This window comes from Homo sapiens, chromosome 2 (genome assembly GCF_000001405.40).
Source record: "Homo sapiens chromosome 2, GRCh38.p14 Primary Assembly".
Lineage (NCBI taxonomy): Eukaryota > Metazoa > Chordata > Mammalia > Primates > Hominidae > Homo > Homo sapiens.
Window position 1 is genome coordinate 9,423,614 of NC_000002.12, and position 17,656 is coordinate 9,441,269.

General features: G+C 40.9%; 1 protein-coding gene across 6 annotated transcripts in view, besides 2 other annotated features; it reads left to right on the plus strand.

Moving 5' to 3' along the window:
• CPSF3 (cleavage and polyadenylation specific factor 3) overlaps nt 41–17,656 on the plus strand; it is a 49,448-nt gene continuing 31,832 nt past the window's right edge. Inside the window, exons 1-9 of one of the 6 annotated variants that reach the window (NM_001321836.2) lie at nt 41–439; nt 2,920–3,009; nt 5,152–5,215; nt 6,310–6,407; nt 7,139–7,267; nt 8,898–9,075; nt 10,258–10,347; nt 12,598–12,748; nt 16,878–17,053. In NM_001321836.2, coding sequence (NP_001308765.1) covers nt 2,948–3,009; nt 5,152–5,215; nt 6,310–6,407; nt 7,139–7,267; nt 8,898–9,075; nt 10,258–10,347; nt 12,598–12,748; nt 16,878–17,053 — 948 coding nt within the window. In that variant the 5' untranslated portion in view covers nt 41–439; nt 2,920–2,947. Of the gene's footprint in view, nt 1,348–2,919; nt 3,010–5,151; nt 5,216–6,309; nt 6,408–7,138; nt 7,268–8,897; nt 9,076–10,257; nt 10,348–12,597; nt 12,749–16,877; nt 17,054–17,656 lie in introns of all 6 variants that reach the window. The other 5 variants (NM_001321834.2, NM_001321833.2, NM_016207.4 and 2 more) reach the window with 5 other exon arrangements.
• Nucleotides 138–187: an enhancer, noted in NCBI's record as "active region_15277". NCBI's record gives its function as "activates an Ori minimal core promoter by ATAC-STARR-seq in GM12878 lymphoblastoid cells {active_cell/tissue: GM12878}" and the evidence as "EXISTENCE:reporter gene assay evidence [ECO:0000049][PMID:35858748]".
• Nucleotides 228–277: an enhancer, noted in NCBI's record as "active region_15278". NCBI's record gives its function as "activates an Ori minimal core promoter by ATAC-STARR-seq in GM12878 lymphoblastoid cells {active_cell/tissue: GM12878}" and the evidence as "EXISTENCE:reporter gene assay evidence [ECO:0000049][PMID:35858748]".

Consider the following 17,656-nt stretch of genomic DNA (forward strand, 5'->3'; position numbering starts at 1 on the left):
GTCGAGGGGAGGAGTCTAGTGCCGCGGGCTCCGGAGTGACGGAAGTTGTGCTCTTGGTGAATGGGGTTCTTCCTTTTTTATTTACCGGTGGCTGTGCTTCCAATTTAGGAAGACCCCGGCGACCTGTTCCTCACCCCCGCTTCGCCCTCACACTTTCGGGATGTCTGCGATTCCTGCTGAGGAGAGCGACCAGCTGCTGATCCGACCCCTGTAAGGGACCAGCGAGAGAGGGAATGAAGCCACGGGCTGTGAGGGGCGCGAGGGGTAACCGGAGACTGGCCTCCTCCGTCGCCCGCGCTCCCACCTACCCCGGCAGCCTGCCTTTGGTCCGCGCTTGCGGGCCAGGCTTCTCAGGCTCGAGGGGTTGGAGGACCGTTGATCGGAAGGGGCCTGCTATAGAGTGAACGGGATTTTGCTTTTTCATCAGTTTCAGGGGAGGGTATGTTGGAGTCGGAAAAAAAAAAGTTTTACGGGGCCACCGCTCGCTTTCGTACACGCTAAGAAGCGTTTTCACTTAGCACAAGCACGGATCTCTGCGCGTCAGGGCAAGCTGTGAGGGAGCCGGTGAAGCTTATGACCGACAGGATGAGAGGAGGACCTGAATGAGGCTACAGCCGTGCAGGGAAGAATTAAGTCTGTTTCTTAACACCAGGGCTTCACATGTGCCAGAAGTTAGAAAATATTAGGGACTTGCCGTGAGTTTCGATCTTCTCAGCTCAGGCCCTAGTAGAATAAGGAAGGTGTAAAGCTGGAGAAGAGAAAGTGCAGAGGTGTTAGGGACAAAAACTCAGCCCTCGACTGTCCATAAGGAGAGTGGCCTTTCAGTGGACACGATCCTCATCAGTCGGGAATGCTGCTGAAGGGGAGATGCAAATGTAGAGAACTTGAATTCCTACAGATGAGCATTTCGAACCCACAACATGTTTATTGTTAGATACTAGTTGGCACAACATGAATATACGCTTTCCAAAAGGTAGAAAGTATCTCCTTTACACAATCATTCAGTAAGGCTTCATTGAGCACCTGCTTGGGACATAGTCCGTTTCCTTCTGCTTAGTTCACACCTGTCATGTCTTCCTGTGATGAGCAAACACTGAGCAAGTGTCAAGCACCACACATGGGGATATAGACGCAACAGAGGGCCCAGTTAATTGCTCTCGCTCTTTTGGAGAGAATTACAGTGCACAGTGGGAAATATTGGAGAGATACTTTGGAATAATAGGAGACTATTACTTTGAAGTCAGACCTGAAGTCCATTATCTACTTGACCAATTAGTAGGACAACAATCTCACTGAACCCGTTTTCTCATATGGAAATAAGATAAAACTTGAAGAGTGAACATCGCGGTAGGTGCTTTGTAAATAATAGCTAATCTAAGAACGCAGGCAGGCATTGCACTGAGCACTGTGAAAGTATGGAAAAGGGATTTCTGACAGATTGAGGAAAAAAGGATACCTCGTGGATCCTGAAAAATGTGATGCCTGAGCTGAGTCCTAAAGAATGAGTAGGAGTTAAAGACTGGGGGGCCCAGGATGTTCTAGGCAGTGGAAGTGGCACATATGAAAGTGAGAGTGGTCACAGCTTGTGGCCAGATTCCTCATGGCTGTAGCTAAAGAGTTGAGTTAGCAGATGAAGCGACAGGCAGTTGAGGTCCAGTTTAGGAAGCACCTCGTATACACAGGAGTTTGGACCTTTATCAAGTCAATTACAGGGAGCCAGCGAAGGCTATTAAGCAAGCATGGATATTGTGGGAATTATGTTTTAGGAAAATCTCTCCTGGCAGCAGTGTAGCAGATGAATAAAAGCATGGATGAATAAAAGCATGGATTGAGTAGAGCAGATTCAGTGAGATATTGAAAGATTCTAAGTCTAGCTGACGAGAGCCTGTAGTGAGTGATGTGAGTGTGAGAGAGTATGCAAATGAGATCTTCAGGATTTTGTGGCTGATCAGCTGTATCTGGAAGGGTGGTTGTGGGGAGGGAAGGCAGGGCAGAGAGGATGTTATGATCAGATTCCTAAGTTTGGCAGTTGGGAAAGGGTAGTGTTATTCACTCAAGGAGTATAAGAGATGGGGCAACTCTGGAGTAAATTTGGGAATTTGGTTGTTTCGTAACAGCTTTATTGAGATACAGTTTACATACCATACAACTCACAATTTACATACCATACAACTCATTTAAAGAGTATAATTCAGTCGTTCTTAACATAGAGTTATACAACCATCACCTCTCTCTAATTCCAGCACATTTTCATCACTCCCAAGAGATACCTTGTATTCATTAGCAGTCATAGACAATCCCCACTACCTCTCCAGCCCTAAGCAACCACTAATCTACTTCTTTATAGATTTGCCTGTTCTGGACATTTCATGTAAGTGTGATCATACAATACATACTCTTTTGTCTCTGGCATCTTTCATTTAGCATAATCTTTCCAAGGTTCAAAATTGAGGAGTTTTGTTCATTCAATAAGTATTTTTTGTGATGTGCTACATGCCAGGTACTGTAGCAATACAGCAGTGAATAAGATGGACAATGCCTCTGTTCTTAGGAAGCTTTCATTTAGTAGCCTGAAAGAAGACATAAGTAGGTACAATAACTTCATGTAGTTGTATTAAGATAACTGATGCTGGGTTGTGGCTTGCTGTGAAGGGCAAATTAGAGGAGGTAGTCAAGGGAAAGCATCTGAGAAGGTGACGTTGGAACTGAGACCCAAATGATACAAAGGAGCCAACCACATCAATATCTGAAGACAAAGCATTTCAGGAAGAAAGTAGAGCAAGTACGGGGCATGTGGTGGAAACTAGTTTGGCATCTTGAATATGAAGTCCCGGGAGAGATCCTAGTAGAGATACCTAGTGTCACGTGTATGTATTAAAGGTCTAGAATTCAGAAGAACAATCTGGGTTACAAATACAGGCTTGGAAGTCCTTAGCATGTCAGAAAGATGAGAATGAAGATTGAGAAGTTGGCCAAGGAGCAAACCCTCGGAATATCAACATTTAAAGGGTAGGCAGAGGTGGCTGAATATGTGAAGGAAACAGGAAAGCCAGCAAGACAAGATGAGAGCATCAGGTCAGAGAAGCCAAGGGAGAGGTGCTTGAGGAAGGAGCAGGTACTCCTTAGGAGTGACAACGGCTGCCAAGAGAACAAGATAGGGACTGACACCTATAGTTCCAGCTACTTGGGAGGCTGAGGCGGGAGGATCACTTGAGCCCAGGAGTTGAAGGCCAGACTGGGCAACATAGGGGGACCTTGTCTCAAAAAAAAAAAAAAGACTGAAATGACTACTGAGCAGCAAGGACAGTTTCAGAAAAGTGATTGGTAAAAGCCAGAGTATAGCGAATTGAGGAGCGAGTAGAAGGTGAGGAAGTACAAGAGGGTCCACTGCCCTGGGAGGTGGTCTGGGGAAAGAATAAAGTGGGAACTAAAGGAGCTTAGAGTCAAGGGATTTTAATTTGGGGATGAACATGGCTGTAGTATGTTTAAATTTGGATTGGATGGTAAAGAGCAGACAGTGAGGAAAATGTCAATGACACAGCAGTGTTGAGTTCCTCAGAAGGAGGGAGGGAGTACGTAGAGTAGAATGGTGGAAAGTTTCATTGTGGAAAGAGAGGTCTATTCTATCTATAGAGGAGAAATAGAAGGAGACAGATGTGGGCAGGTTGGTACCCTGTTGGTACATGTATTCTTAATTATTGTACCAACATGAAGTTGAGGAAATTTACAAATGGACTGTTTATTTTTTTGATGCAGAAGATGGCCCATGCCTCAAGTGAAGAAGAGGATAGAAGGTTGGAAAATTTGGGAAAGGGAAGAAAGTTTGAAAATAGTTGATATGGAAATGAAATGGAGAAAACAGCCAGGCAACATTGAGGGCCAGTTAAAGTGGAAGGCCAGGGTATCCACAATAATTACAAATAAAAAATGTTTAAAAAGTGGAAGGCCAGGAATTTATGGCGGCTCTCATCCACAGTTGTTTGATCTTCTGTATCAACACCTGTTTGGAGGTAGGATCTCAGTTTGGGGATAGATCCATTGCATGTCCATCTGACTGAGTTCCTTGAGGTCAGGGTCCCTGTAAGGCATTTCCATGTCCTAGGCACTTAATCCAGTGCTTGGCAAATAGAAGCTGCTTAATGTTGAGTGAGTGAGTGGATTGTGAGCTAGAATGGTTGGGAAAAGGCATCAAAGAAGGTGAGGGATTTGAAAGATGAGGTTTAACTTAAAGTGTGCCTTGTGACCATTGCAAATTATGGCTGAAATTATTAAGAAGAAACAAAAATTATGTAAGTAGTTGGTATAAAATATGCTGAAATAACAGAAAGTAGAAGAAAAAGTGATTGAAATTCACAGTATGAATAAGTATTTTAAAAAAAAAAATTTTTTTTTTTTTTTTTTGAGGCAGAGTCTCGCTCTGTTGCCCAGGCTGGAGCGCAGTGGCGCGATCTCAGCTCACTGCAAGCTCCGCCTCCTGGGTTCACACCATTCTCCTGCCTCAGCCTCCCGAGTAGCTGGGACTACAGGTGTCCGCCACCACGCCTGGCTAATTTTTTGTATTTTTAGTAGAGACGGGGTTTCACCGTGTTAGCCAGGATGGGTCTCGATATCCTGATCTCGTGATCTGCCTGCCTCGGCCTCCCAAAGTGCTGGGATTACAGGCGTGAGCCACCGCACCCGGCCATTTAAATTTAAGCCATTTGGCAAATACACATTATGATCTTAAAGAAGATGACAGTGTTGAAATGCTTATGGCTTTCTACTTAAGTGCTAATTCTAGAAGTATTATTATATAATCTGCGTAACTGCTAGTTTACATTTTAAATACATTATAATTTAATCCTAAAATTCAGAAAATTGAATTTAAATCAAGCCCAAACCTTTGGGCTTCTTGGATCTGTACCGCCTTCTCTCTTAATTTTAAGAACTGCAAGATCCCTGGACTCCCAAGGATCAGTTTTCATCTGTTCTCATGTGGACACTGTTCTTCCCTGTCTTTGTGATTTTGTAGAACTCTCTTACGTCTCAGAATTTTTCAGTGAGGTGCTGTCATCAGATGGCATGTAGTGTACATTGTAAAAAAGTGTAAGTTTATTGGACTTGGTTTTGATTTTTTTTAATCCTTCTTTTTCTCCCCTTGAATATTTACAGTGGAGCTGGGCAAGAAGTAGGAAGATCATGTATTATTCTCGAGTTCAAAGGAAGAAAAATAATGGTAATTACTATTTTTGTACTCAGTTTAATAGTATGGCTCTGTCTGTATTGGGTGTTAGTCTTTTCTCATAGACTAGTTATCTTTTTAGCTCCCAGAAAAATGTTATAGTACATGTAATCTATGCTGTATAGTGTTAATGAGAAAAACTAATACACACTTCTACTTAGTAATTTAGTTGATTAAGAAGATATATTCTATGACTGTAAAATTGTCAGCTAGATCTGTTGAACTGTTACCTCTTCAAAGTCCCTCTTCCACTCCTGAAGGGTTGAGCCAGCCTAACTGCCCCACCCCCAGTGGAAGATCCCAAGGGCCCAAGCACTCTGAACACACTGAGAGCTCTAGCCGCCTCCAGCATGTGGGGATCAAGCCTTGGCCTAGAAGCTTGGATCCCCAGGTCCCACTGGGGCTGCCGGCCTTGGCCAAGTCACTTTGCTTCTCTAAGCCTGAAAGGTAGAGGGGTTAGAGGAGATAGTTTCTAAGGTACTCATTAGAAAGTCAGTTCTGTGTCTCAGATTCCTTTGATTCCTCTTTCTTCTCAACTCCTCCCAATCTGAAAAGAACATGTATAGGTCAGACATAGTCATCCTTTTAGTCATCTGTTTTGTTAATTTGGTAGTAACGCCATAAAAATAAGTAACTTTAATGACTGAGTCTTAAGAATTTGTTCCCTAATGCCTTAAAATATTTAAATTACCCTGATCAGGTAAGTTTCCCATTTCTAATTATTATCTTCTCACGAGAGTCGATCTGGTAGTAGTAAATCTATAAACTTTTAAAATTTTAATCTGATATCAAAGTTTTTGAAAAAGATTTAATTCGTTGTTAGAATGACGACCAAAAGTAGCTGGAAAGAAGCTGTTTTGTACTTTGCATCCTGTGACCCCTAAATGTGAGCTATATTTTAAATTTGTTGGGAAGTTAGAATTGTTAATGGCATATTTGCCACATTTAATAAGAATCATGTTCCAAGTGCTAGTGCCTGGAGTCCATCTTGAGTATATGGGTGATGGAACTAGAATTATTGCCTATTTGCCGAATGAATTTTAATAAAATGTGCAGGAGATTGTGATCTCTTTTCCTGTTTCTTTCAGCTCGACTGTGGGATCCACCCTGGCCTAGAAGGAATGGATGCTCTTCCTTATATTGATTTAATTGACCCAGCTGAGATTGATCTCCTATTAATTAGTCAGTAAGTTTTTCCCTTTATTAATGACACTTTTTCACGGACTTTTACTATCAAGATCATTCTTTACTAGATTTTGAGAGTTTGGTTTTTTAAAAGAGTGTTTTCTGCTAGGAAGCATATTGCAGACATCTGAGTCTAAACCAACACTCCGTAATGTCATCACAGGCTAGAGAAGTTTGCTATGAAAAACTTACCTACCTCTATGTATAAGTTCAGTGAGTATGTGAGAAGGAGATAGTACAGAACTTGAATCATTGTAAAACTTGAGACTAAGAAAGCCCTTTTCCAGGATATCTCCTTGAGGTCACTGTTTTATCACATTCTTCTATAAGAACGCCATTTCACCTTTATTGAAACTATTTTTAAATAGAGTTCATATAGAAAAATGTGACAAGACAGTGACCTCAGGGAGATATCCATGTTTCAACTTTATTCTGTTAAAATGTTTGCTGTAATTCTGGCTGCCAGGAGTAGGCTTGGGATATTCTTCTTCCTCCCTAATTCACTAATAAAGTTTTTTGCTGTTTAAAAACAATACTTTAAACATCTTTCCTCCATTTTAGAACTGTATGCATTACTTCTTCCTTCTACACATACCTACTCTTGGTTTTTCTGAAAGTATCAGCACATAGTTGTTTATATAAAACTTGTTTTGTACAGTAAGCAACAGTTTCATTACATGGTATCTGATGGATAATAATTTTAAGAATTAATGCAGCCTCTTTCTTTTTAAGTTTCCATTTGGATCACTGTGGAGCTCTGCCCTGGTTTCTACAGAAGACAAGTTTCAAAGGAAGAACATTTATGACTCATGCCACAAAAGCTATTTATAGATGGCTTCTTTCTGATTATGTCAAAGTTAGGTAAATTACTTTATTAGATTATACACGACTTTGGCTCTATATGGCATGTATGGTTCAAGATATGGACCATTTTGTGTTTTAAAATGAGGTGCTCCCTTTTCATGTATAAGGATATCAGTAATTTCATCATTCATTAACAAGGTCATTGAAACCTATTGTGTTTCTAGCACCTTCCTGACCTTGAAGGTTTTTTTGAGACAGGATCTTGCTCTGTCATCCAGGCTGGAGTGCAGTGGTGTGATCACAGCTCACTGCAGCCTCAGCCACCTGGGCTCAAGCAGTCCTTCCACCTCAGCCTCCTGAGCAGCTGAGACTACAGGTGTGTGCCACCACACCCAGCAGAGTTTTTTGTTTTTTGAAGAGATAGGGTCTTATGTTGCCCAGGCTAGTCTCAAACTCCTGGGCTCCAGTGATCCTCCTGCCTTGGCCTCCCAGAGTGCTGGGATTACAGGCATGAGCCACTGGCCTGGCCTTGAAGTCTTTATATAGCTTTTTGTGTCCTTTTAAAACTTCATTAGGCTGGATTGGAAGAGTTATGCTTAATTGTGGTAACACTCGTTAACACTTCAATAATGCTTACCACATACTAGGCCCAATCCTAAATTCCTAATGTATATTAACTTCACACAAAGATAAATAAATATACATATTTTTTTTTTCTTTTTTTTTTTCTTTTTTTTTTGAGACGGAGTCTTGTGCTGTTGACCAGGCTGGAGTGCAGTGGCGCTATCTTAGCTCACTGCAACCTCTGCTCCCGGGTTCAGGCAATTCTCATGTCTCAGCCTCCCCAGTAGCTAGGATTACAGGCACACAGTGCATACCACCACGCCTGGCTAATTTTTGTATTTTTAGTAGAGACGGGGTTTTACCATGTTGGCCAGCCTGGTCTTGAACTCCTGACCTCAGGTGATCTGTCTGTCTTGGCCTCCCAGAGTGCTGGGATTACAGGGTTGAGCCACCGCACCCAGCCGGGAGATAAATATATTTAATCTTCACACCAACTCATGATGTAGGTTCTATTATAAATTCCATTTTATAGATGATGAAACTGAGGCACAGCGAGGTTAGGTTATTTGCCTAAAATCGTCACAGTAAGAGACAGAGCAAGGATTTGAACCCAAACAATCTGGCTCCAGAGTCAGCGTCCTTAACCACTGTTCTCTCTTGCTTTTTTGTAAGTACATTAACATAATTTTCAGGAGAAAGGTTGTGCTAGACTTTGTAGAAAAATCTTTTCTCATCCTAATGTGAGAAATATCTGCCATGGTTCAATGTATGTGAGTGTGTTATATCTTTCAGGAGTGTTGGGGTGGGAAAAAAGTTTGAGAAGTACTATCCTAAAGAGTATTTTGTCTTAATTTATTGTATGTATTATTGAAAATTGAGAGTACTTTGAGCTCAGTGTCTTAATTTCCTGTGTGGTTTGTTTAAAATCAAGTTTTGTAGCTATACACACAATAGAGTAAAAAAAAAATACACAAAATATCTGAGAAATTTTAAATACATGATTCATACAGTATATTTTAAAGAAATATCTTCATGGAGATGTTATCCACAATTTCTTTGTGTTCAAAGGCTTTTTAAAAAATCTGACTCTTAATTGTTTTTGCTGGCATCTTTCAAAATTTAGTAACATATCAGCAGACGACATGCTGTATACCGAGACAGATTTGGAAGAAAGCATGGACAAAATTGAAACTATCAACTTTCATGAAGTTAAGGAAGTTGCGGGAATCAAGTTTTGGTGTTACCATGCAGGTCACGTCCTAGGAGCCGCCATGTTCATGATTGAGATCGCAGGCGTGAAGGTACCCTCTGGCTGTGGCGCTTTTCTCCCCAGAGAAATCAGTACAGAGCTTTGTGCCACCAAGTACTATTAAAAAAAAAAATTCCCTAAGACTTGCAAAGTGTCAGAACACGGAAACATAAGATAAAAATACAGTTAACGCTTGTTCCTTTTAAATATTGCAGTTCCTACCTCCATTACAATACTTTCTTTATCAAGACTGAGGAAAAAAAAATTTTTAAAGACTGAGAAAAGAGTAAAATAAACATCTCAAAAAGTGATTCCCTGACACCATAGGATTCCGTTTGCTTTAGAAAACTGGTTAGGGAAGAGGTGTCTTTGTGGCTGCATTCGTTTAAAATTAAAACACAATTTGATATTCATGTCCCCCTGATGTCTTAGAATTCACAGGTAAGCCCCTAAGCAGGGTGGACTGCAAGAGTGAAAGGGGTTAATTAGGAAAGATCTTTGGGGAAGCCTTGAACTTCTGACAACGTGGGTGGGCCGCTGGCTTTCCAGACTCCAGAGCAGCCGCTCTGAACTCAGGCTGCAAATAAGACTCACTTAGGGAGCTGCTGAAAATAACTGTTGAATCAAAATCTGGAGGCGCAGCTTGGCCTTTTCCTTTTCGAGTTTGCTAGGTGATTCTAACGTCAGCCAGAGAACCAATGCTCTAGTGTCACGTCCTAAATTTTTCACAGCTGCTTATACATTTGGAACTTTTAGACATTGAATTGTAAAGTATATCACTAAATCACTTATTCTTGCAGTTTGCTCCAGGGCACAAAAAATAAGTAGCACAAATGCAGATGTGAATTCTCTTGGAATTTGATGCAGACCCTCTTATGATTTTATCTCCGGTTTTAGACCATGTACCTCAGTGCACTCCTTTCCTTGTCTGCATGCCCTTTTTCTCTAAGAAGTTCAGAGCACTTCTCAAGTGGATTAATGTTATATAGGTTATCATTGTGAGATGATACTGGGAATAGATTATTCCCATTTACTAGAGGAAATAATTGAAGCACTGAACCGTTTACTGACTGAACTACACATTTTGAATTGGACACAAGCACTGCATGTAAATTTCATCAGTTTTAGACTTAAAAACTGTAACTGCACTTTTGGATTTCATGAGTTTAATCTATTCACTAGCAAAATGAAGCCTTCCCCAAATCCTAACTTTCTAGTTTTATCTTTTTCACAGCTTTTGTACACTGGTGATTTCTCAAGACAAGAAGATAGGCACTTAATGGCAGCTGAAATTCCTAATATTAAGCCTGATATTCTTATCATTGTAAGTATTAATATACTATATTGTAATCAATGTAATGTAAGCAGATTTTTTTTCTTTTGGAAAATAATACTGTGATCTCACTTTCATAATATGTTATTGGATATAAACTTACCTTTTTTAAAATATAAGAAAACTGGTGGCCGGGCACGGTGGCTCACACCTGTAATCCTAGCGCTTTGGGAGGCTGAGGTGGGCAGATCACTTAAGGCCAGGAGTTAGAGACCACCTTGGCCAACACAGTGAAAACCCATCTCTACTAAAAAAATACAAAAATTAGCTGGGTGTGGTGGTGCAGTTACCTGGGAGGCTGAGGCACAAGAATCACTTGAACCCAGAAGGTGGAGGTTGCAGTGAGCCAAGATCACGCTGCTGCACTCGAGCCTGGGCTACAAAGCAAGACTCAGTCTCAAAAAAAAAAAAAATTGGGGCAGGTGCTTCTTTTTGTAGTGCAGTTTCACTTTCTTGCTGTTAAATGCATTAACTCTAGTCTAATATCAGAGATGCCAGGCTGCCTCTGGGCAGGATCAGCAGGCTGTCTCTGGGCAGGATCATTTTTACTGGCTATGCCCTCTCTCTGTCTTCTAAATATATATTTCTAGATGAGAATATGTAGAAGAACATCTTACGGGTCATTTTAAAATGGTGTGACCTCACTGCCTTTGCCATGGTGACTATCCTCAGGCCCTTAGTCCATGCTAACTTATCGTTTTGTTTATCTTTGTGTGTCATGTCTGCCTACTAGGTTGCAAGTCCCAGGGGAGCAAAAAAAATGAACTGTGTACAGAAGCTCTTTGGGGGCAGCTTGGGATGTGTGTTGCTGACTGTAGAGTCAGGGGTTGGGAGAGAAATCTTGCAAGCTTTTGGTGTATATAAGAACATCAGGTGTATGTGGTTCAAGGAGGAAGAGTTGTCTGTTTCTCCTCCACCACCTACCATGTTCCCCAGCTGCCCAGGCATGTGGGCCAGTACATACTGCTGTCCATAAGCAACATGTGAGCAGATTAGATTGGACTCTGCTCATGGTATGCCCAGCATATAAACTTAATTTAAGGGAAGATTTATTTTTTGAACCCTCAGAAAAAGTAGCTATTTTCATAGTACCATACTTTAGAGCAGTGCTTCAAATTTTAATATGCTTATAATCATCTGATGATATTGCTAAGATACAAATTCTGATTCAGTACATCTGGGCTGGGGTCTGAGATTTTGCGCTTCTGATAAGCTCCCAAGGGATGTCAATCTTCTGGTCAGTGGACCATACCTAGTAAGACTTTAAGGATATTCTTAAACAGAAGTATAAGAAACAACATCTGTTTCTATTTTAAAAGCTTTGACTTATCAGAGGTGGGAGAAATAACCTTTTTCTTCCTAATGGAAAGCAAAATGGTTAAAAAAGGACATGGGAAGAAGATACAGTTTTGGACTATTTCATTTTATAAAAAGTTCTTAGATTTGAATTCTAGCATTCTTTTTTTTTTTTTTTGAGATGGAGTCTCACTCTGGAGTGAGCGACTGCAATGGCATGATCTCGGCTCACTGCAACCACTGCCTCCCAGGTTCAAGTGATTCTCCTGCCTCAGCCTCCTGACTAGCTGGGATTATAAGGCATGCGCCACCATGCCCAGCTAATTTTTGTATTTTTAGTAGAGACGGGGTTTCATCCTGTTGGTCAGACTGGACTCCTGACCTCAGGTGATCCACCCGCCTCGGCCTTCCAAAATGCTGGGATTACAGGCATGAGCCACCATGCCCGGCCTCTTTTTGTTGTTGTTGTTAAATTTTATTTTTTTGAGATGGAGTCTTGCTCTGTCGCCCAGGCTGGAGTGCAATGGTGCGATCTCGGCTCACTGCAACCTCCTCCTCCTGGGTTCAAACAGCTCTCCTGCCTCAGCCTCCGGAGTAGCTGGGATTACAGGCGCCCACCACCACGCCCAGCTTATTTTTGTATTTTTAGTAGAGACAGGGTTTCACCATGTTGGCCAGGCTGGTCTCAAACTGCTGACCTCAGGTGATCCACCCACCTTGGCTTCCCAAAGTGCTGGGATTACAGGTGTGAGCCACCACGCTGGGCCTGAATTCTAGCATTCTTGCTTGCTCTTCCCAATTACTATTATGACAACACATGTTCGAGTAAATGACATGCTAATGGAGAAGTGAATTGCTTAGCCCCTCAGTATTTCATTGATGTTTAACTTTTGAATTCTTGGAGGATCATTGGTCTTAGTCTCACACTTCTAATGTATTATTTAGGAATCTACTTATGGGACCCATATCCATGAGAAACGTGAAGAGCGAGAAGCAAGATTCTGTAACACTGTCCACGATATTGTAAACAGAGGAGGCAGGGGTCTCATTCCTGTCTTTGCTCTTGGAAGGGCTCAGGAGCTGCTCTTGATTCTAGGTATGCCATTTCCTTTGTATTTAGGCGATGATCAAAATCTTGTCATTTTATCAAGATAATAATGTGGTCTTGGATGAGTCATTCCACCGTTCTGGACTTCAGTTTTCTTCATTTAAAAATAGAGATTTGGGGCCGGGCGCGGTGGCTCACGCCTGTAATCCCAGCACTTTGGGAGGCTGAGGTGGGGAGATCACGAGATCAGGAGTTCAAGACCAGCCTGACCAAGATGGTGAAACCCCATCTCTACTAAAAATACAAAAATTAGCCGGGCACAGTGACAGATGCCTGTAATCCCAGCTACTCAGGAGGCTGAGGCAGAGAATTGCTTGAACCTGGGAGGTGGAGGTTGTAGTGAGCCGAGATTGCGCCACTGCACTCCAGCCTGGGCGACAGAGCGAGACTCCATCTCAAAAAATAATAATAATAATAATAATAGGGATTTGGATCTAGGAATAGCCCAGGAAAACAGCAACTCTCATGCACTGCTGTTGGGAATGTGAACTGGCGACCCCTTCCGGTTGCCATCAGAAGTCTTAAAATATGTGTACCCTTTGGCCAGCAGTTCCGCTTCTGGGAAATAAATGAGATGTACAGAAAATTTTGTCAGGAAAGGTATTCATCATTTTAGTATTTTCAAAGAAATATGTGAGTAAATATAGCATTGTAGGAAAAAATTGTGTTACAGATGAGTAATTACATACTTTGCACATAATATATTAAGTCAACCAAAAAAGTAGAGTTCAAAACTATATTTACTCTGGGCTGGACGTGGTGGCTCACGCCTGTAATCCTAGCACTTAGGGAGGCTGAGGTGGGCAGATCACTTGAGGCCAGGAGTTCAAGACCAGCCTGGCCATCATGGTGAAACCTCGTCTCTACCAAAAATAGAAAAATGAGCCAGGTGTGGTGGCACACACCTGTAGTTCCAGCTTTTCTGGAGGCTGGGGCATGAGAATTGCTTGAGCCTGGGAGGCAGAGGTTGCAGTGAGCCGAGATTGCACCACTGCACTCCAGCCTCGGTGACAGAGGGAGACTGTCTCAAAACAAACAAACAAACAACAACAAAAAAAAAACTATATGTACTCTGATCCTAGTTAGGTAAAAAATGCACACACAAATGACTGAAAAGCTACTAAATCTGGATAGTGAGGATATGGATGATATTTTTTGTTTTCTGCTTTTCTCCATTTTACAAGTACTTCAGTGAGCATGTATAATTTTTTGTAATAAGAGAAACAATGGTTGTTACTTTTTAGCATACATTTGTACTTCATGATCCCTTCTACCTCACATTCGGTGATTCTAGTTGGGAAGAGCACTCTTATTGAAGAATAAAAGAAGGTACTTTACAGCCAGGCATAGTGGCTCACGACTGTAATCCCTAATTCCAGCACCTTGAGAGGCTAAGGGCGGAAGATCACTTGAGCCCAGGAATTTAAGATCAGCCTGGGCAACAAGGCAAGACCCTGTCTCTACAAAAAATACAAAGAATTAGCTGGACGTGGTGATACACGCCTGTTGTCCCAGCTACCTGGGAGACTGAGGTAGGAGTATCACTTGAGCCTGGGAGGTAGAGGTTGCAGTGAGCCAAGATTGTGCCACTGCACTCCAGGGTGGGCGACACAATGAGACCCTGTCTCAAAAAAAAGCAAATAATAAAATGGGTGCTTTGCATGAGTGTCACCTCTGTGCGAAGCACTAGAAACACTTGCATCTTAGCTCATCCTCTCTGTTCTGCCATCTTGGTGAGGAGGAGAAAAAATAGTATCCCTGTCACACTGAAAAGGAAAACAGAAGGAAAGTTGGAAGAAATGACCCCAGATGAAAAGGAAATCTGTAATAGATAGGACTTCTAGAAGCTGAATTTCCCAAATCCGAATCTAATTCAGTCTTTTGATCTTGATTGGTCCTCCTTCCTAACTGCAAGTCAAATTCGTCCTTAGAAGTCTTGAAATCAAAGTCTTCGTAACCTGTAAGATGAAGAACAGAGAAGTTAGGAAGTTGAAACAATGTTGCCACCATCAAATTGGGTTGCCAGATTTAGCAAATAAAACTAGAGGACAACTCATTAAATTTTAGGTTCAGATAAATAATGAATAATGTTTTAGTATAAGTGTACCAAATATTTAATATATATTCTTTTTTTTTTTTTTTTTTTGAGACAGTCTCACCCTGTCACCCAGGCTGGAGTGTGGTGGCGCTATCTCGGCTTGGCGCGATCTCGGCTCACCACAACGTCTGCCTCCCGGGTTCAAGCTATTCTCCTGCCTCAGCCTCCTGAGTAGCTGGGATCCTAGCTAATTTTTGTATTTTTAGTAGAGACGAGGTTTCACCACATTGGCCAGGCTGGTCTCGTTAGTATATATTCTTATACTAAAAATCTTTTGTTGTTCACCTAAAATTCAAATTTAACTGAGTATTTGATATTTTTATCTGGCAATTCTACCGTCTGTTCTTTGCAACTGGTTGCCCTTTTTCCTTCAATTCTCCCTTGTAATGTAGTATAATAGAAAGAACAGCTGCTTTCAAATCTTATCTGTGTTTCAGATGAAATCTATCATATGGCTAGAGCCATATGACCTTGGGCAAATTATTTAACTTTTTTTAATATTCAGAGTTTATTCATAAAAACACGCACAACAAACCAAGAAATGGTGGCATGATTGTGGGATGTAGTCCGCTTTAGGGTATCTAAGAAATCATAAGAGTAATAAATCATGAATGGGATAAACTAGAAGACAAAGCAGGAAATTTGTAATGCATGTGACAGAAAGTCTTTGTCCTCATATAAAATTATCATTGATACATCAAATGGAAGAATAACATTCACACAATAATCAGCCTTTTTTTTTACCCTTAGTTTGCTAGTTAAAATGGTGATAAGTCTTCGTAAGTTGTTTTGAAAATTAGAAATTATAGATGTAAATTGGTGAAACCCCGTCTGTACTAAAAATACAAAAAATTAGCCAGGCATGGTGGCCAGCGCCTGTAGTCCCAGCTACTCTGGAGGTTGAGGCAGGAGAATGGCATGAACCCGGGAGGCGGAACTTGCAGTGAGCGGAGATCGCGCCACTGCACTGCAGCCTGGGCGACAGAGTGAGACTCCATCTCAAAAAAAAAAAAAAAAGAAATTACAGATGTAAATTATATAATAGGCATATAATACATTTTCAAACTGCAGAGGCACCTATTAGAATAAAGGGTGTCTTTCAGCCATACTACCCTGATAAAATTTTGGGATTTAATGAGGGCTTTTCCCTTAACATAAGTCTTTTGACGGTATATTACCCACTGCTTTCTTTAATTATCAGAAACTGGTTAGTAGGTTTTTAAAAATACAAGCATGGCTGAGTGTGGTGACTCATGCCTGTAATCCCAGCACTTTGGGAAGCTGGGCAGGAGGATCACTTAAGTCCAGAGTTTGAGACCAGCCTGGGAAACATAATGAGACCCAGTCTCAAAAAAAAAAAATTAGCCAAGTATGGTAGCACACTCCTGTAGTCACAGCTCAGAAGGCTGAGGTGGAAGGATCACTTGAACCTGAGAGGTTGAGGCTGCCATGAGCCATGATCATACCACTACCCTCAAGGCTAGTCGACAGCCTGGGTGTAAAACACAAACAAAAACAAACAATAATAGCATAATATGACTATACTTTTTTTTTAAGTGTTCAAAATCGGTTAACTCTTGGCAATTCTCTTTTGTAATTAGCACTCAATAAATCTGTTTGAAATATTAATAATACATTTTTAAAACCATCACAGAATTTTTTCTAGTACACTTTTCTAATACATTTAAATAAAAATGTATTATTTAGTGTCTTATTATGGTAGTAAGTTATAGACTTCAGTGTAAACTTATACTGAGTCATGTTTAAAAGCCTCCACATCTTTGGACTATGATCATAGCATTCTTTTTAGGTCATGCACTATTTAGAAATAAGTTTTGGTTTTGTAAATTTAAGTTAGTTACAACCAGGATAATTTTGCTTAAACTCTTTAAAATATAGTTGTGTGCTTTATTTCTTGGTTGTATGTGTATCATTTCTTGTTCTGTGTGTATCATTTGTTATTTGAACTGTTTACCCCATCTAACAAAGTGATGTTTGTTTCTTGCAAAATCTCTCTAGATGAGTACTGGCAGAATCACCCAGAACTACATGACATTCCAATATACTATGCATCATCTTTGGCCAAGAAGTGTATGGCAGTGTACCAGACATATGTAAATGCCATGAATGACAAAATCCGCAAACAGATCAACATCAATAATCCCTTTGTTTTCAAACACATTAGTAACCTCAAGGTGAGTGCTTGTGGAAGAAAGACAAGGATGGATAAAACCAAATCAGTCATTAGTAGTAGGAGGTACGAGGCCGTGAGTGATGGCTCACAGCTGTAATTTAGCACTTTGGGAGTCTAAGGCAGGAGGATCACTAGAACTCAGGAGTTTGAGACCGGCCTGGGCAAGATAGTGAGACCCTGTCTCTATCAAAATAAAATAAAAATCGTAGGCAGTGCTTGTCAGTGACTCTGGCTGAATTCCTCTTGCTGGAGTCTTACCGCTTCTCAACAGGTGTCGTTTTTCTGCAGAAAATCAAAACTTCAGCAGCTGACATTCTTTTTCTGCTTCAACAGATTTTGCCACTTGCCCCAAGTAGCCATGTGTTCTCAGTATTTATAATACTCATCTCTTTTGCCGTAGGCATAAAAAGTTCTGAGGAGAAAAATATTTTGTATTATGTATTTAAGTTTCTCTTCTCACTCAAACCAAATCATCTTTTTGATTAGTGCTGCAAATTCTATATATGAAAATTTTTATATACTTTTCTGGAAGCATTCAATAAAATCTGATTTTATTTAATTTAAAAAATACTGTTTAACTCGATGCTTGAATCATAATAAAATA